This window comes from Homo sapiens, chromosome 15 (assembly GCF_000001405.40).
Source record: "Homo sapiens chromosome 15, GRCh38.p14 Primary Assembly".
In the NCBI taxonomy this organism is placed as follows: Eukaryota; Metazoa; Chordata; class Mammalia; order Primates; family Hominidae; genus Homo; species Homo sapiens.
Genome location: NC_000015.10, coordinates 65,024,102 through 65,043,560, shown reverse-complemented (window position 1 = coordinate 65,043,560; position 19,459 = coordinate 65,024,102). Strand labels below are relative to the sequence as shown.

Here is a 19,459-nt window from a genome sequence, read left to right as displayed (position 1 = left end):
CATGGAATAAAGTCAGAGGACAGACAGGAGTATCCACTCCTCATGGTGGGCCTTGTAAAACAGGGTAAGGAGTTTGTATTTTACCCTAAAAGTGATGAGAAGCCACTGGAGGGTTTAGGCAGGAAAGTGACATAATCTAATTGACATTTGTCTAAGATCACTTGGCCTGCTGGGTGGAAAATGGATTGTAGGAGAGCAAGAGAGGAACAGGGAGACCATTGGGAGGCTGTTATATTCATCCAGGCAAAACATATTAGTAGTTTGGACCAGGCTGGTGGCAGTGGAGATGATGAGAAGTGGTCAGATTCAGGGTGCATTTTGGAGAGAAAGGTAGTTGATAGATTTCAAGAGAGAAGCTCAACACTAACTCTCTTAAACACAAAAGGAATTTATTGGCTCATAAACTAGGAAGGGCAGGGTGGAGCTGACCTGAGGCATACGGGAACCAGGGATTTGACGACCCGTAGTGCTTTGTTTCTGTGGCTCTTTCCCTGCTTTTCTCTGGGTGCCAGGCTCATTACCCCAGGCTGGCCACCTCCGGGAAGCTTGACCAGATGATAGGAAACCCAGGCTCATGCTCTCATAGCTGCAGAGGAAGTAGCTACTTTTCTTAGCTCTTGTTTAAAAATTCTTGGAAAGGACTCTAATTGTCCAGCCTGAGTCATGTACCTATGTCTTGGATCAATTGTTATGGCTAGGGAGGGGGGTACCACTGATAGCCAACTCAGAGCTCATCATGCCTGTTGGGTAGCCAGGAGAGACAGGCTGTGAGCTGGACAGCCCATGCCATGTGGGTGCCTGAAGGAACCATTTGACCTCAATCCCCCTTGTCTGCCTCTGAGGAGTGTTGTGGTGCTCTAATGGGATGGTGTCCCCTTAACAAGGAGCCTGCACAATCCCAGGTTTTCCACTCTTCTGCTTCTGTGTCTTTTCTCTCCCTCCTCTTACCCTAGCTCTTTCTACTACGGCCTATCCAATAACTTGTTCCATGGTTGCCATGTGCCAGGCATTATGCCAGTGATAAACAGTCGAAAGGATTGTCCCTGCCCTCATGGAGACTCCAGTCTAGCAGAACAGACAGACGGGTGTTCATCATGTCATCACAACTTCTGTGTGACAAGTGCCATGAAGGAAACGTACACATGGAGATGAGAGCACATCACCAAGCCCTCCTTTCCTCACAGCATCACTATCATTCCTGGCCAATCAATCCCACCTTGAAATCTCCTCTCCTGACTTCTCCAGTCTCTTATCTCCCTACCTAGAGGATGATAGACAGTCAGCAGTGTAGTGGAGTGGAAAGGGCTTTTGGTTTTCCTCTGCTATTCTGGTATCTGCCACCTGCTAACCCTTCAAGCCTCAGCTTAAATGTCATCTTCTTAGGGAGGCCTTCCATATCAGTTGAGAATTGTGTTTGGCTCTGGGTAACAAAGACCCAATGTCAGTGGTTTAAACCATAAGAGTTTATTTTCTCATAGAAGAATGTCAGAAGTAGCCAGTTATTAATGTCGTAAGACCAAGGAAATCAGGGCTGAGGTTTCTAAGACTCCCTCATGGCCCCTAGATGGCTGATGCAGCTCCTGCCATTATATCCAAGTTCCAAGCAGAAAAAAAAGCAAAAGGGAAGAAGGACAAAAAGGTGTGACCATGCTCTATAGTAAACGAATAACCTATCTGAGAGTAAACTCAGATAATACAGAGAACTAAGGTCAAGGGAGTTATTCCCAGAAAACAGTAGCAAGGGCAGCCAGGTGGGCTAACCAAAGAACTTACTCTACTGCCAGGGTGGAGGTCTTCACAGCTCATGCCCAGCAGGATTTGATAACTGTCATGGGCCTGTGCTGCTGTGTGGACTGTAGCACAGCCTGCTAATTTCCCCCTAGATTACATTCTTCCCTTCTTCCTTTTAATAAGAGAATCCTCTAAATTTTAGAGGCATATGGCCACCCAACTGGAAACTGCAGTTCCCAGGCCAGGCGTGGTGGTTCATGCCTATAATCCCAGCACTTTGGGAGGCCGAGGTGGTCGGATCACGAGGTCAGGAGTTCAAGACCAGCCTGGCCAACATGGTGATACCCCATCTCTCCTAAAAATACAAATTAGCCAGGCATGGTGGCGTGCACCTGTAATCCCAGCTACTCAGGAGGCTGAGGCAGGAGAATCGCTTGAACCTGGGAGGTGGCGTGAGCTGAGATCACGCCATTGTACTCCAGCCTGGGTGACAGAGCAAGACTCCATCTTAAAATAAATAAATAAATTAATTAATTAAAAAAATTAATGAACCTGCATTTCCCAGATTCCCTGCAGTCATAAGTGGTCCTCTAAGTTTTGGCCGAAAGAGACCTGAGAAGTGATTGCAACTTCAGAATCACTATTTTTTTTTTTTTGAAATTTATACAAACTTTTTTTTGTTGGAGTATACATATAGGAAAGTACACAAATGGTAAGCTTAGTGAATTTTCACATGTGGACACACTCATGCATGGGAACATATGCCATCCAGATCAACAAATAAAACAATTGCACCATTGCATCCTGTACTCCAGCCTAAGCAACAGAGTAAGACCCTGTCTCTAAAAGAAAAAAAGAAAAAGAAATAGAACATTTCCAGATCTCAGAAGTCTTCTCTTGTCACTATCCCTTACAAAGGCAACCTGACTTTTAATACCATAGATTAATTTTGTCTGTTTTTATACTTTATATAAATGTAATCAATCAATATGCAATCTTTTGTGTCAGCTTCTTTTGCTCTACATTATACTTGTGAGATTCATCCGCGTTGTGTGTAGTTGTGGTTCATTCATTCTTGTTGTAGCGTAGTATTCTATTGTGTGACTATGCTGCACTATTTCTACCTGTGGATCATGTTTTTGTGAGAAAATTCAACCCCTCCACTTCCTCATTCCTCTTTCTGGAACACAGATATGATGGTGGAAAGGACATGTCAGGACAGGGGTTGTTAACCTATGGGCCAGATCTTTCTCTTTTTTTGAGATGGAGTGTCGCTCTGTTGCCAGGCTGGAGTGCAGTGGGGAGATCTTGGCTCACTGCAATCTCTGCCTCCCGGGTTCAATCGAGTCTCCTTCCTCAGCCTCCCAAGTGGTTGGGACTACAGGCACGTACCACCACGCCCAGCTAATTTTTGTATTTTTAGTAGAGATGGGGTTTCACCATGTTGGTCAGGATGTTCTCAATCTCTTGACCTCATGATCCGCCCGCCTTGGCCTCCCAAAATGCTGGGATTACAGGCGTGAGCCACCGCACCTGGCCTATGGGCCAAATCTGACCTGCAGCCTGGTTTTGTAAAAAAAAAAAAAAATAATAATAATAATAATAATTCTTACTGGGACACGCCATGCTCATTTGTTTACATATTGTCTAGGGTTGCTTTGGCATTACATTAGCAGAATGGAGCAGTTGTGACGATTGGCCCACAAAGCCTAAAATATTTGCCATTTGGTCCTCATTTACCAAACAAAAAAAGTGCCAGCTGGGTGCAGTGACTCACGCCTGTAATCCCAGCACTTTAGTAGGCTGAGGCAGGTGGATCACCTGAGTTCAGGAGTTCGAGACCACCCTGGGCAACATGGTGAAACCCTGTCTCTACTAAAAATACAAAATTAGCCAGGCTGTTGGCGCATGCCTGTAGTCCCAGCTACTTGGGAGGCTGAGGCAGGAGGATGACTTGAACCTGGGAGGTGGAGGTTGCGGTGAGCCAAGATCACACCACTGTACTCCAGCCTGGGCAATAGAATGAGACCCCATCTCAAAAAAAAAAAAGACAACCCAGGCAACAAGATAGAAGGAATTTGAGCTCCTGATTAACCTCAGGTAGCTGAGCAGCCTACCTGCCCTGGACCACCTATCAGCTTCTGAAAGTGTTATGTACAGGAAAAGTTTGGGGATCTCCCTGTTACAGAAACTTACTCTGTACTGTAACTAATACATACATTCTGCATGTTTAAAAATGGTTTATTGGATAAGTAAATAACATGGCAGCAGAACTAACTTCTAGTCCTGTCCATCTTTGCTACTGACCAGCTGTGTGATCTTGAGCTAGTCACTGGGACCTCAAGTTTTTATCAAAACGCATTAAGGTTCTACAAGGAGTGAAAAAGCAAAGGATTTTAGCAACTACTATCAGAAGGAGCCAATTGTGTAATGACAAAGTCCAGGCCCTTTAAACATGGGAGATTTCCACCTGGGGTCAACCAGTTGGCTTTTCTGCTAAATAAGGTAAAACACCAGTATGAAGGAGAACTTTTTCCCTAAATTGTGATGGATGCTAGAGGGTAGGGAATACTGGCTGAGCTGTCCAGAAACCTGACCCCTCAGCTGGATTGCAGAGGATGCTTTAACCTCAGCTCAGGGTTAAGTTCCAGGAGGCAGAGTCTTGCCCTGACCTTCAGGGCCTAAGGCTAAGCATCCTCCTGCGTCTCAGCCTGCTGTCTCCCCATGCGGAAGATGTGACGCCTGCTAGGCTGACAGCCAGTAAAGGTTTCAAAGTGGTGGAAACTGATCTGCATTTCCAGGGCAGGCTGTTCTGCTCCTTGGGGTGGGCCATCTATCATCAGCTGGCGCCAGGAGGGGTGGACAGGCCCTTGGCTAGCTGTTTGTTCTCACCCTCATTTTCACAAGCATCACTTACATGTGGAAGCCAGTTTAACAATTCAGTTTGAACAATAGTTCTTCCAAGTCCCTGATGACAGCACGTTATCTTCTCAGTAAACTTCATGGAAAATAAAATGAAATCTGAAAGTGGCGATGTAAGGAAATGATGACACATGGGAGCAGAGATGTATGTTCAAGAATGTTCACTGCAACATTATTTAAAATAGCAAAAAAAAGAGTGGGCATGGTGGCTTCTGTCTGTAATCCCAGCACTTTTAGAGGCTGAGGCAGGAGGATCACTTGAACCCAGAGTCCGAGACCAACCTGGGCAACAAAGTGAGACCCCATCTCTAAAAAAATATTAGCCAGGCATGGTGGCATGCATCTGTGGTCCCAGCTATTTGGGAGGTTAAGACAGGAGGATTGCTTGAGCCCAGGAGGTTGAGGCTGCAATGAGGCATGATCCACCACTGTACTCCAGCCTGGGCGACAGAGTGAGATGCTGTCTCAAAATTTATTCTTGTTGTTGGTCGGGCACAGAGGCTCACGCCTGTAATCCCAGCACTTTGGGAAGCCGAGGTGGGCAGATCACCTGAGGTCAGGAGTTCAAGACCAGCCTGGCCAACATGGTGAAACCCCATCTCTACGAAAATACAAAAGAAATTAGCCGGGCATGATGGTGGGTGCCTATAATCCCAGCTACTCAGGAGGCTGAGGCGGGAGAATCACTTGAACCTGAGAGGCAGAGGTTGCAGTGAGCCAAGATCGTGCCATTGCACTCCAGCCTGGGCGACAGAGTGAGACTCTGTCTCAGAAAAACAACAACAACAAAAAAAAATACAAATTTTTTTTGAAACAAAAATACAAATATCGAGGATCAGAGGAGTGGTTAAATTATGGTACCAACGGAACCACATATTTCTTCTAGGGGCTAATTTTTATGTTAAACCCAGAAGAGGAAAAAAAAACAAATAGTGGAATTAGTGAGGGATATTTTTGCAAAAGGTAGGGGAAGTAAGTCCAAAATTATTTCCAGTGAAGCACTGACTTGAGGCCTTCATCTGTAATAGGATGGTTGAGAGGAGTGACAGGTGTTCAAAGGGAAGTCATCTTTATACCAAAGTAAAAGGATGTCCATGATCAAAGTCTTTTTCATCAGACACATGTTTTGTTGGAAGCATTTCAAGAATATTTGCAAAGTATAGGAAGTTTGGCAAAAACTGGTGTGAAACAGTAAAAACAAGTACAATATGTACTTTCTCCAAGGAAAGATATTCTGCAGCCACCACCTTAATCCCTTTCATCTTATCGATAGCATTTGAGACTATCTATGTTGCTGACCCTTATTCATAATCCTTAATTATTTCTATGTCTTTGACCTCTTGCTCCTGGTTATAGTATAACCAAAAATTTTCTTCAGTCCCCTACTAAACCAGAGTCCAAGAGTAGAATAAAATCAAAGTCTATCTATAGGAGGTGCTTAAAGTTTAATCATTCTCAGACACAGCACTATGAACAGTTTCATTTTACAGACATATTGTTCAACAATGTGTTTGAGGAATGTCAAACAACTTGGTAAGTAAGAATTGTGTGTTAATTTGTCTCAGTTTTGTCCCTCCCATTCACAGGCAAGTAAGCACTCTTTTTTTTTTTTTTAATTTTTTTTTTAAGACAAGATCTGACTCTGTTGCCTAGGTTGGAGTGGCATGATCATGGCTCATGGCAGCCTCAATCTCCTGGGCTCAAGCGATTCTCCCACCTCAGCCTCCCGAGTAGCTAGGACCATAGGCGTGCACCACTACACTTGGCTAATTTTTAAAATTTTGTAGAGATAGGGTCTTGCCCAGGCTGCTGTCAAACTCCTGGCGTCCAGTTATCTTCTGTCTTGACCTCCCAAAGTGTTGGGATTATAGGTGTGAGCCACCATGCCTGGCTTGATTATTTGCAGGCATACTATAGTTATAATAAGAAAACAAAAATTTAAGGAAATTTTTGTTTTGCTAAGCATAACCCATTTTACAACAAATTGCACTTTTTGGAGGCATCATCCTTAAATTTACCTGTATATTAATTTATCCATTTGGATTAAATTTTCCATTTAAGGTTTTCTGGCCAGGTGCGGTGGCTTATGCCTATAATCCCAGCACTTTGAGAAGCCAAGGCAGGTGGATCACCTGAGGTCAGGAGTTTGAGACCAGCCTGGCCAACATGGAGAAACCCTGTCTCTACTAAAAATACAAAAATTAGCCGGGCATGGTGGTGGGTGCCTGTAATCCTAGCTACCCAGGAGGCTGAGGTGGGAGAATTGCTTGCTTGAACCCGGGAGGCGGAGGTTGCGGTGAGGCAAGATCGTGCCACTGCACTCCAGCCTGGACGACAGAGTTAAGACACTCCGTCTCAAAAAAAAAAAAAAAAAAAAAAAAAAAAAAAAAAAAAAAAAAAGATTTTCTACAGTCTTGACCTCCTAGACAGAACATTTAATACATCTTGGATTCTAAGGGGGTTTGGCAATGTGGGTAGGTATTCTGAGGCATTTAGTCTCTCATTTCTGAAAACTGGATGATCTAAAGTATACAATATTATTCATTTCATGAATTTTGAGGGGTCCTCTGAAATAATATAGCAACCAAGGTAAGACTCACAAAGCTAATAATCAGGGAGATTTAGGGTAGTTCCTTTAACTATGTGTGGTGAAAGTGCCTTTCAGTTTGAACATTTAAAGCCCGCTAAATTGAGAGTTAGAGATGGAACATAAAGGACTAAAGAGATGTTTTTCATATGCCTAGCAGAACATAGAACATAAAAAAAAATACCGACAACATTTCAAAACACAATCTGAGTTTCATCATTGGTTTCATTCAGTTCTACATAATGAATTCTCCATAGGTGGATCCTGGGTCAGCAGTCCACATTTGCAGAATTATCTGCTTCTAGACAAAGGCACCCCGGCAATCCTGAGATGTAAGCGCTCTGGTACAATGTGCCAGGTATCCATGTGCAGCGGCAAAATCAGTTCACACAAAGAGGCCTGAACTCCTGAGTTTACTCCCTGCAGTATCAGTAGTTATATGATGGTACACTGTCACTCACTGCTGGTGGGAATGTAAAACGGTGTAGCCACTTTGGAAAACAGCTTGTCACTTCTAAGAATTAAAACATAGAGGCCGGGCGCAGTGGTTCACGCCTGTAATCCCAGCACTTTGGGAGGCCAAGGCAGGCAGATCACGAGGTCAGGAGATCGAGACCATCCTAGCTAACATGGTGAAACCCCGTCTCTACTAAAAATAGAAAAAAATTAGCCGGGTGTGGTGGCGGGCACCTGTAGTCCCAGCTACTCGGGAGGCTGAGGCAGGAGAATGGCATGAACCCGGGAGGCGGAGCTTGCAGTGAGCCAAGATCGCGCCACTGCAGTCTGGCCTGGGTGACAGAGCAAGACTCAGTCTCAAAAAAATAAAAAATAAATAAATAAAAAATAAAACATAGAGTGGGACTCAGCAATTCTACTTTTAGGTATATACCCAAGAGAATTGGAAACATATTTCTTTTTTTTTTTTGAGACAGAGTCTTACTTGGTTGCCCAGGCTGAAGTGCAGTGGCTTGATCTTGGCTCACTGCAACCTCTGCCTCCCGGGTGCAAGCAATTCTCCTGCCTCGGCCTCCTGAGTAGCTGGTACTACAGGCATGCACCACCACTCCCGATTAATTTTTGTGTTTTTAGTAGAGATGGGGTTTCACCATGTAGGCCAGGCTGGTCTTGAACTCCTGACCTCAAGTGATCGCCCGCCTCGGCCTCCCAAAGTTTTGGGATTACAGGTGTGAGCCACCGTGCCCAGCGGGTGGAAACATATTTCCACACAAAAGCTTGCACATGAATGTTCACGGTAGCATTATTCATCATAGCCAACAAGTGGGAACAATTCAAATGTTCAACTTGAGGCAAGATAGGTAGTCAAGGAAGTGACCATGTCCTCGGGATGCGGCAACCGTGGTGACCGTACAGTCAACACAATAAGCCCCAGCATTCGCACTGTAGTTGAGCTCATTCAAGCAAAGCTATCTACAGTAGGGAATTTCCCCTGTAAAGAGGATGTGCATTTTGGCCGGGCGCAGTGGTGCAGCCTGTAATCCCAGCATTTTGGGAGGCCAAAGCAGGAGGATTGCTTGAGCCCAGGAGCTCGAGACCAGCCTCGGCAACATGGCAAAACCCTGTCTCTACAAAAAAAAATTAGCTGGGCATGGTGGCGCGTGCCTATAGTTGGAAGGCTGAGGCGGGCGGATCACCTGAGCCTGGGAGGTCGAGGCTGCAGTGAACCGAGATCACGTCCCGGCACTTTACCCTGGGTGACAGAGCAAGACTCTGTCTCAAAAAAAAAAAAAAAAAAAAAAAAAGTGCCTGGTACAGCCCCTTCAGCCCCTACCCCCAAGGCTGTAAATTTTATTTTGATATTTCTTCCAGAAGCCAAGATCTCTGACTTATATACAAGGGCCTTTAGGCCAAGTGTGAGGAGCAAGCAGAAAGCACCTGTTAATGATAAGACTGGGTAGCTCTGGTTTAATTTATTACAGAGTCAGCTACATCAGATTGGAGGCAAGTAGGATTCCCACAGGAGAGCAGGATATAAGCAAATGAGCCTTTCTATAACTGTTACATAAGGACTGAGATGATCATTATCCCCCACAGAGGGATGTATTATAGACCTGAAGGTTTTGGCAAATCTCCAGAGAATGATAATCTATATTGTAAAATGTAAAGAGGATACCACAAGCATCTCCAACCAACCAAATTATTACACTTCTAGGAAAAATTTTCTTAGAAGTGTATTTATTGATAGCCCTTACATACAAACAGAAATATGCTACCACCCCACACAGGATACATGATATATATTCACAATAACAATCTATACAAAACTTCCTTGGGGTAGCTTCAGCCTCTCTTTCCCATATTCTGAACCTGGTAAATAAAGGAAGCATGCTAGTGAGCAGCTGATTAGAAACTATGGAGCTAATCAATTGCATGCAATCGCTCTTCTTTGAGTCCCACGTGAGGGTAAAGGGTGAGGAAGCAAGGCTGTGGTGCTATCTAGTGGCTGTCTAGGAAGTAGCAAAGGCGGTTTTGTTTAAAAAAGGATTTCTGTTTTATCACTCCATATGTGGAGCCTGATTTCAGAGAACAGCATCAAAAAGTGTTTTCCGATATAAACATAGGTGTCCAAGAACAAGAACTGGCCACAGCTGTAGCTATTTTACTAACTAGTCTTTCCTCCTGTTAACAACATACAGCTTTGTTAACACTGTCTAGCATTTTTGCTGGGGGTAAAGGGCTGGGAACTAAAGTTTTTAATATTTGATCTCTTTAAGTGTACTTTGAAATATTCTCTTGGTTTTCTAGGATGCCCCTCAGCAGCAATGAGGAAACGTCCATATTGTTAGGCTGCTTCTCCTACCTGTGGTATATCTGGCTTCGCTTCCTGGGGTTCCTGATACCCCTTAGATGTCCCTTAACCTCTCCAGTCTCTCTCCTTATCAAGGAGAGTCCTGTGGACCCACACTGCTGTGTGTGGCCTTTCATCCCCGGCCCTGATTTACAGAGAGGCTGGACAGGTTAGGGAGTGACATCTACTGGACCACACAGGGCAGTAACAACACAGAGGGCAGATTCTGTCAGAGGTACTGGAGCAAACGGACTATCCGTCACGCTCAGTGACGGGACAGGCTGGTGGGCAGCACCTCCTTGCGGGCATCTGATACAACCACAGGCAGGCGATGGCAGTACATGGAGTGGCTCGCTAGGAACTGCATCTCAAAAGGCTTCACTGGACTGTGCCCCTGAGGTCAGTTCCTGCCCCTGGCACTGGGCTGACACCTATGTGTGGCAGTCCTTCCCCTGGTCAAATGTGGCATTGCCTCCTAGGCCACAAGCAGGGGTTCTTGTGGACTTAGGCGTTGGCCACCTTACTAACTGGAGTTCTGTTCTGTGGTAGTTATCCTCACCCTGCAGAAATACCCATATAGTCATGGAGTGGGGTGAGATGACGGGAACAGGAAGTGGAAATGCTTGTTGCCTCTTCCCATTCCCAGATCAGCTCTCCCAGCCCCTAGTCATGGAGGCCACTCCTGCATTCCAGTTTTCTACTAAACGTCTCCATTTGCTTGTCTCATCACTTCAGTTTCAAAGCATTCAAGGGTGAAATGTCATGTTGACCACCAAGTGGGTTATTTCCCTACGTCAATGACACTGCTATTGTCTTGTCACCCAGACTCAGAACCTGGAGTAATTTCATTGATTCAGCATCCGCACACACTCTATTCATCAAGAAAGATAAATTTCTGAAAACAGGAGCACCAACTGAATTAGCATTATCTGGGTTCCAATCCCCTTGTATGTGCTTTCTGGGTGTCTTAATTTATTATGTAAAACTCCTTGCCATTCGGGGCTGGAGTCCTCATCTTCTCTGTGTGCTTTATGATAGTTCCAGTGGTGGATTTATCTGGTCTTGAAAGTAGACACCCCTCGTCCTCTACAACATACTCTTAACTCACTACCAAGAGTTTCAGAAATATTTTCATTTTTACATCCTGGGAAAACCTCAGCCATTACAGTAACACCATGTTCCTTTAAAAAAAAAAAAAGAAGTTTGCTGCAAATCAATTTTAAAAAGAAGTTTGTGTTTGTTAACTAGAAATTTAGATGCCAGTGATAGGAGGCGGATCTGTGGAGGAAAGAAAACGATTGGAATTAGCCCCTCAACCTGAGCAGTCGCTCTGTAGTCATCAAAGGACTCTGGGAATGGTGCAAAACAACCCTAGGGGGCAGGGTTATCTGGGAGAACTCGGGCTGCTGAAAATTAAAGGTAGCATAAAGCAGGCTCTCTAACTCAAGAGCTTAAAACCCACTAGGGAAGAAATGGCATAAACACAGGTACCAAGGTTTACACTTTAGGCAGCAGCCAAATTCTAAGGTGAAAACCAGTTGACTATTTGCATTGTATTTCTAGGTCATGTTGTATGGGAAAAGACCAGTCTTCGAATATTAGAATCACATTCTGCTCACCCTAAGAGAGGATACTGGAACAGAACTTGATCAAGGGAATAGAGGGTTTGGGGTCCCATCTCACTCTCCTTCTCATATGTGATCAGATAAGCAAAATTACTGGAATATCTTCCTCTTTGCTTCTCTTTTCTGTTCAAAACACATGTGAATTTCTCAATGTCTATGCATACATTAGACAACCTTCCTCAGTAATACCAAACTACATGAGAAATGGGGGTCCCTACAGAGTATTAAGGGGGCACATGGGCTAAGCACGGTGGCTCATGCCTGTAATCCCAGCACTTTGGGAGGCCAAAGCAGGTGGATCACCTGAGGTCAGGAGTTCGAGACCAGCCTGCCCAACACGGCAAAACCCCATCTCTACTAAAAATACAAAAAATTAGCCAGACGTGGTGGCAGGCGCCTGTAATCACAGCTACTCAGGAGGCTGAGGCAGCAGAATCGCTTGCACAGGGGAGGTGGAGGGTGCAGTGAGCCAAGATCACACCACTGCACTCCAGCCTGGGTGACAGAGTGAGACTCTGTCTCAAAAACAAAAACAAAAACAACAGCAACAACAAAAAAAAACAGGGGCACATGGAGAAAGACAAGAAATCTAAGGAGGCAAGAGCTTGAAGCTTCAGGGCGAATGTCTGAACTTCGTGTTGAAGAATGGATACCATTTAGAGATGAAGAGATGTGGGAAGGCAGTCTAGGAAGGGAGCATGAGCAAAGGCACAGGAGCAGGGATGTGCAGAGCTCATAATTTAGGAAAAAGGACTGGTCCAGGGTCACTGGGTTTAAGACTGTGTGATGGGAAAAGGTGGTGAGACGGCAGGGCGCAGTGGCTCATGCCTGTAATCCTAGCACTTTGGGGGGCCAAGGCAGGCAGATCACCTGAGGTCAGGAGTTCAAGACCAGCCTGGTCAACATAGTGAATCCCATCTCTACTAAAAATACAAAAATTAGCTAGGTGTAGTGGCGCATGTCCCAGCTACTTGGGAGGCTGAGGCAGGAGAATCGCCTGAACCTGGGAAGCAGCGGTTGCAGTGAGCCAAGATCGCCCGCCACTGCCCTCCAGCCTGAAAAACAGAGCGAGACTCCATCTCAAAAAAAAAAAAAAAAAAAAAAAAAATGGTGGTGAGAATAAGATTAGAACAAAATTCGGTTTCAGTCTCTGCTCAGATCCTGTTTCATGGATGTCTGACTCCACTCAAGGAGGCTTTGGGGATACAGAATCTAAGCACTAACGGTCCTCGGAGGTCTTCTGGGGATAAGGTTCCCTGTCCATTTCCCTAGGAATCACCTCTATGGTATCCTTCTGTGTGCAAAGGAACCCACAGGGGAGGAGTAAAGATGGAGCCTTCGATTCAAGAAAGTAACTGCAGACAAGTAACTAAGGCTCAGTTTCCTCAGGTGCAAAATGTGGGTAATTGACTTGCCTAATACATAGGATCGCTGAGAAGGCCCAACGGCTAGGATTACAAGCGTTGGAATTACAAGAGTCCCACCTCTGCTCTGTCCTTTACTAGCTGTGTGGACCTTATACACTGGTAAGTCCTTAATTTCACGGAGCTTCAGTTTCTCTTCAGTAACATATTTGTAATAGTATCTACCTCCTAAGGTTGATCTGATGATTAACCAGAATAATGAATATAAAATGCTTAGCAAAAACGTGGCACGGAGTGAAGTACTCAGCAAATATTGGTTATAATGGTTGAGGAAATGACATGCACTATATACATGAGGTTTCATTGTCTGAAAACATGCACGATTTGTTACCAAAAGACTTATCCTGGGCCGGCGCAGTGGCTCACGCCTGTAACCCCAGCACTTGGGGAGGCCAAGGCAGGAGGATTGCTTGAGACCTGGGCAACATAGTGAGATACTCTCTCTACAAAAAATCAGCCCAGCATGGTGATGTGTGCCTGTACCCCAGCTACTCCGGAGGCTGAGGTGGGAGGATCCCTTGAGCCCAGGAGCAGTGAGGTTGCAGTAAGCAGAGATCGCGCCACAGCACTCCAGCCTGCGCGACAGAGCAAGACCCTTTCTGAAATAAATAAATAAATAAATAAATAAATAAATAAAGCGATTTTAAAAAGAAAAGAAAGACTTATTCTGGAGGATTGGCTACATAGTGCAAATAAACAGAACAAAAATCTAGGGCCGCTGTAGCGGGCAAATTCGTTCACCAACTCCAACCAGACCCCGCCTCCAAGCAGGCAAGCCCCGCCCTCCCCAGGCTGCACCCTTGTCCCCGCCCCGATGCGCCTGCGCAGGGCCGGCCGCCGGCGGCCGAGGCGATGAGGGTGTTGGTGCGGCGCTGTTGGGGTCCTCCGCTGGCTCATGGCGCCAGGCGTGGGAGGCCGAGTCCCCAGTGGCGAGCACTGGCCCGACTCGGCTGGGAGGACTGCCGGGACTCCAGAGTCCGCGAGAAGCCTCCCTGGCGGGTGCTCTTCTTCGGCACGGACCAGTTCGCCCGCGAGGCGCTGCGGGCGCTGCACGCCGCCAGGTACCCGGGCCAGGGATCCGGGGACCCGGCCGCTGAAGGCCTCCAGGCCGCGCCCGGGCGGCCGGCCCCGAGGGTTTTGGACTTCTGGTTGCGGAAAGCATGGGCGGCAGAGCGGTGTGGGCCCAGATCTCGGCGTCTTCTGGCTCCCAGAAGGTGCGCCATTCCCGCCGGTCAGCCTTTGGGCGCCTAGTACCTGCGGTCTGCGCCCCTCACTCCCCGCCGCCTCTGTGGGTTCTCCAGGCGCCCTGCCACCCACGCTGTGCCGAGCTGGGGCTGGGCGCTCTGCCTGCATCCCCCGGGCCAGTCCCACGGCCTCCCTGCCCGTTTTGAGTGTGGGGAATCCGTGGCTCAGAGAGGTTATGCGATTGCCCAAGGTCATCAGCCGAGGTGGTTCGGACTAAAACCAGGTCCCACTTCAAAGTTCCCTGCTTTGCAGTTCCTCCTGACCCCCATCCTTCGGCACACCCGTGTCTCGCTCTTTTGCTCCCCCTGTGCTCCTTGTATACAAGGACATAGTCCAAAAACGACCTGTTTTCAAAAGAATAAATTTATAAATCAGAACTGTTAGGTATACATTTAGTATTCATAATATTTAACAAGTTTTGTTTACTGGGAAAGAAAATTATTTGAAATCCAACCAGTCCTGAGAGTCCATGGTATGTGGTGGCAATACCGTATATACTTCTCTGCCTCTTTTTCCCAATTAATGTTTTTTATTTCCCCATTCTGTTTTTTTCTGACGCAGTCCTCCTTCCACTTTTTTTGGTCATCTCCATCTCCTTTTCCCTACAGATACTTCACAGCAGCCCCTCATGTATTGAATCCTTCGTCAATCCCCTGTGTGGTTTTCCTTCCTCCACACACCCCTCTGTGCACACACCCGGAAGGAAACCCCATGTTCCCTTTGCACACCCTTCATGGGCTGCTGTTGTCACATGCGTCTCTCACTGCATTTATACATTTATACCAACACTTTTTTTGTTTGTTTCTGAGGCGAGGTCTCGCGCTGTCCCCCAGGCTGGAGTGCAGTGGCCGGCTCATAGCTCACTGCAGCCTCGACCTCAAAGATCAAGCAATCATCCCATCTCAGCTTCCAGAGTAGCTAGGACTACGGGCGTGCACCACCACGCCTGATTTTTAAATTTTTTGTAGAGGCGGGTTTTCACCATGTTGCCCAGGCTTATCTCAAACTCCTGGGATCAAGTGATCCTCTCACCTTGGCCTCCCAAAGTGCTGAGATTACAGGCCTGAGCCATCATTCCTGGCCTATCCTGATACTTCTGATGATGCTTCACTTGGCAGCTCCATTACTCCTGTGCTTTCTTTATAGTGCCCCAGGACATACTCCTCATAACTCCTCAACGTGTACATACAATACCTGTTTAATAAATGTACCCCCCTGGGTACTAGAATGCTATGCAGCAGGTAGAAAGGATGAGGTAGTGCTACAGGTACTGCCATGGAATGATAGCCATGTTATGTATTTTTGTTTGTTTTTTAAAAAGTAGTGTTTGAATGGCATCATGGTTATGGTAAAAAAGTTCCATGGATTCAAAGGATATACAGTGAAAAGTTACTTCCTTCCACCTCTGTTTAGCAGTTCCCAGTTCCTTTATCCAGAGACAGCCACTGTTTTCAGTTCCTTCTAGAAATGTTCAGTGAATATACAAATATACGTATATTTAACCCATTTTTCAAAAAGACACATAATAGCATATATAGCATTGTTAAAAGGAAAAAAAATGCAAAGCAGTATGTAATATCCCAGTTGTGTAAAGTATCCATACTGTATATGTTTCTGTATGCACAGGAAATCCCTAGAATGATACTGTTCAAACAGTAGCCACTAGCCACGTGTCACTCTTTACATTTTAAATAATTAAAATTAAATAAAAAATGAAAACTGAGGCTGGGCACGGTGTTCACGCCTGTAATCCCAGCACTTTGGGAGGTGGAGGCGGACGGATCACTTGAGGTCAGGAGTTGGAGACCAGCCTGGCCAACATGGGGAAACCCTGCCTCCACTAAAAAACACAAAAATTAGCTGGGTGTGGTGGTGCATGCCTGTAATCCCAGCTATTCGGGAGACTGAGGCAGGATAATCGCTTGAACCTAGGGGGCAGAGGTTGCAGTGAGCTGAGATCGCTCCACTGCACTCCAGCCTGGGTGACAGAGTGAGACTCCAGCTCAAAAAAAAAAAAAGAAAAAGAAAAAATGAAAACTCAGTCTCTCACACTAGTTTTAATCATTTAGCCCTAAATGCTTCATGAGATTAATCATAAACATACTTAGCGATATGTGAAGTAGTTTTAGCTTTGAGTCATTGCCTTAACACTGTCACATTTTTCTTCCTATCTAATTTAGGGAAAACAAAGAAGAAGAGTTAATCGACAAACTGGAGGTGGTCACAATGCCTTCCCCATCACCAAAAGGACTGCCAGTGAAGCAATATGCTGTGCAGTCTCAGCTTCCCGTATATGAGTGGCCGGATGTGGGATCTGGAGAATATGATGTTGGAGTAGTGGCTTCGTTTGGCCGACTTTTGAATGAGGCTCTTATTCTTAAATTTCCCTAGTAAGTTTTATTTGTAAGGAAATACAGTATAGAAACCTTGGTCTTTATAAATGGACCTTGTATATAAAATGTGATAATTTGAACTCTATGCTTTCTGTAATATTTTCTTTTTTTATTTTTACCATTTTATTTTTCTGTACATGTTTGCTTAAAGTCAATGAATTTCTCTGCCAGGTTCAGGTAACTGAAGGGCCTTTAGAAGTAGTTTATATTGTTTAAACCCAAGGAATGCTGCAAACACAGTCTGGAACACAATAGGAAATAACATCTTTCTAAAGACAGGCTTATAAATTTGAATCCAGTAACTTAAGATGTTCCCTTTCTCTGGTAACAGAGTTGATTCATACCAGGCTGCTAGGCCTCCAGTCACAGGTATAGACAAGAAAAGAGGGTATAGACCACCAAAAGCAAGACCAATCCACTCTGTGTTATGGTACACGTTTCACAATTCAAATCACCTGTATTCGAAGGAAAATTTACAAAACTTTTGTAAGCTGTGTTTGTTGTAAGAAAAGGGATCACTGCCATTGGTAAGCCAGCAGCTGTAAGAGCCTGTGTCATGTTCAAGACGCATTGAAAAAGACCATTTGCTATGAGGCCACAGAGAGCATTAAATCCAACATATGCTGATCCCTCTTCAGGTAGATTCCTTTCTGCTTGTGGAAGCTGGTTAATTTTTCTGGTTATGATATCAAAGATTGTTAAGTTTTCCTTGATAGTATTAGATTTATGATTTTCCATCTTGAGCCTTATGCTCTTCTCCCAGCAGCTGGTTGGTGCCTCCCCAGGTCGTCTTCAGCCATGCCCGGGCTCACTGAAGCCTTTGCTCAACTCGCCTGGGCACAGCCATATTTGGCTGACACATGACTCGGCCTGATATTTTCTTTTCAAGTACTAAAGAACATTTTATTTGTGGCATGAGTTGTCAAAATGTATTTAACTCCTTATCACCCTCTATAGGCTTTCATCCACCTTCATTTAAATTCCATATATATGCTGACAACGCCCAAATTGGTCCCTCTAGCTCAGCTCGGTCCCCAAACTCTAGTCCCCTAATACCTACTGCCTCCACAGCTCTTCCTGGATGTCTGATAGCCACTTTACATTCAAGATACCCAAAGCATCTCCTAAAATCTTTATCTCAATAAATGGCTACTCCATCATTCTAGCTGCTTGCACCAAAATCCTGGAGTCATGCTTGATTTCTTACGTCCCATATCCAATCCATCAGTAAATCCTATTGGCTCTGCCTTCAAAATCTGTGTAGAATCTGTCTGTATCTCATCACTTCCGCTGCTGCCACTCTCGCCTACATTACTACAGAAGCCTCCTAACTGGTCCCTACTTCTGTCCTTGGCCCTCTCAGTCTTTTACCAATCCAGCAGCCAAAATGTATTTATTTATTTATTTATTTATTTCTATTTTATTGTTTAATTTAGAGACAGTCTTGCTGTCACCCAGGCTGGAGTACAGTGTTGCTATCATAACTCACTGCAGCCCCAGACTCAAGGGATCTTCCTGCCTCAGCCTTCTGAGTAGCTGAGACTATAGGAATGTGCCAACACACCCAGCTAACTCTTTTTTTTTTTTTTTTTTTTTTAGAGACAGGGATCTCGCTATGTGGCCCAACCTGGTCCCAAACTCCTGGCTGCATGTGATCTTCCTGCCTTGGCCTCCCAAAGTTTTGGGATTACAGGCATGAGCCACTGTACCCTGCCTCAAAGTGATCCTTTTAAAACAAGTCAGATCATGTCACTCTGCTCAAAATCCTCTGGTAATTTTCTGTCTTACTCAATAAAAGGCCAGGCCTAACTGGCCTCCCAGCTGTGCCTTGAATTTGCCGAGCATTTACCTTCTTCAAGATCTTTGTACTTAATGTTCCCTCTGCCTGGAATGCTTTTCTCCCATATATATGCGTAGTTATTTCCTTCTTCATGTTCTTGTTCAAGTGTTTTCTTGTTGGTAAAGCTTTCTCTGATCACTACTAAAATTGTAATATGTCCCCCTCATAGTCCTCTCTGCTTTATTTTCTCCATAGCCCTCAGCATCATCTGGCAAACCTTGTACATATTTTGTTTTTTCTTGCTTATCTCCCACTTTTTGTACATAAACTCTCTGAGGGCAGGATTTTTTTTTTCTGTCTGGTTCACTGCTGCTTGTATGCCTAACACTTAGAACAGTGTCTGCACATGGAGTGCGCTCAGTGAATGTTGGATTGGGCTGAGGATCTCCTGAGCTTGGGAGGTTGAGGCTGCAGTGAGCCATCCAGCCTGGGCAACAGAGCGAGACCCTGTCTCAAAAAAAAATTAAAAAAAAAAAGAAAAAGCTTATTTTAGGCAGTCTGTATGTAAACCAAGTGAAGTGAGGATAGTTATGTGACTAAACTATAAAATTAGAATTGTTCATGAGATGCATAATAGGGTTTGAGTGGTTCTCTTATAGTCATAAATGCATTTTAAAATTTTATTTAAAAACTCCCAGACATCATGGGCTGTTGTAGATTTTGCGACGGAGTTTCGCTCTTGTTGCCCAGGCTGGAGTGCAATGGCGTGATCTCGGTTCACTGCACCTCTGCCTCCCAGGTTCAAGCGATTCTCCTGTCTCAGCCTTCCGAGTAGCTGGGATTACAGGCATGCGCCACCACACCTGGCTAATTTTGTCTTTTTAGTAGAGATGGGGTTTCTCCATGTTGGTCCGGCTGGTCTCAAACTCCCGATCTCAAGTGATCC

At 45.2% G+C, this 19,459-nt stretch overlaps 1 protein-coding gene and 1 pseudogene across 4 annotated transcripts in view, besides 3 other annotated features; one reads left to right on the top strand and one right to left on the bottom strand.

Annotated features, from left to right (window-relative positions):
* Positions 10,156–10,235: an enhancer, noted in NCBI's record as "active region_9591". NCBI's record gives its function as "activates an Ori minimal core promoter by ATAC-STARR-seq in GM12878 lymphoblastoid cells {active_cell/tissue: GM12878}" and the evidence as "EXISTENCE:reporter gene assay evidence [ECO:0000049][PMID:35858748]".
* Positions 13,770–13,959: a silencer, noted in NCBI's record as "silent region_6550". NCBI's record gives its function as "represses an Ori minimal core promoter by ATAC-STARR-seq in GM12878 lymphoblastoid cells {active_cell/tissue: GM12878}" and the evidence as "EXISTENCE:reporter gene assay evidence [ECO:0000049][PMID:35858748]".
* MTFMT (mitochondrial methionyl-tRNA formyltransferase) overlaps positions 13,922–19,459 on the top strand; it is a 28,128-nt gene continuing 22,590 nt past the window's right edge. For 3 of the 4 annotated variants that reach the window (XR_007064421.1, XR_001751081.2, XM_005254158.6), the window contains exons 1-2: positions 13,922–14,309; positions 16,521–16,730. Coding sequence is in view for 2 of the 4 variants with exons in the window: in XM_005254158.6 (XP_005254215.2) it covers positions 13,948–14,309; positions 16,521–16,730 (572 nt within the window). In the remaining 2 variants the exon portion in view is untranslated. The remainder of the gene's footprint in view (positions 14,310–16,520; positions 16,731–19,459) is intronic. The other variant, NM_139242.4, reaches the window with a different exon arrangement.
* Positions 14,210–14,509: a silencer, noted in NCBI's record as "silent region_6549". NCBI's record gives its function as "represses an Ori minimal core promoter by ATAC-STARR-seq in GM12878 lymphoblastoid cells {active_cell/tissue: GM12878}" and the evidence as "EXISTENCE:reporter gene assay evidence [ECO:0000049][PMID:35858748]".
* On the bottom strand, positions 16,846–17,603 carry LOC100130437 (transmembrane protein 126A pseudogene; annotated as a pseudogene).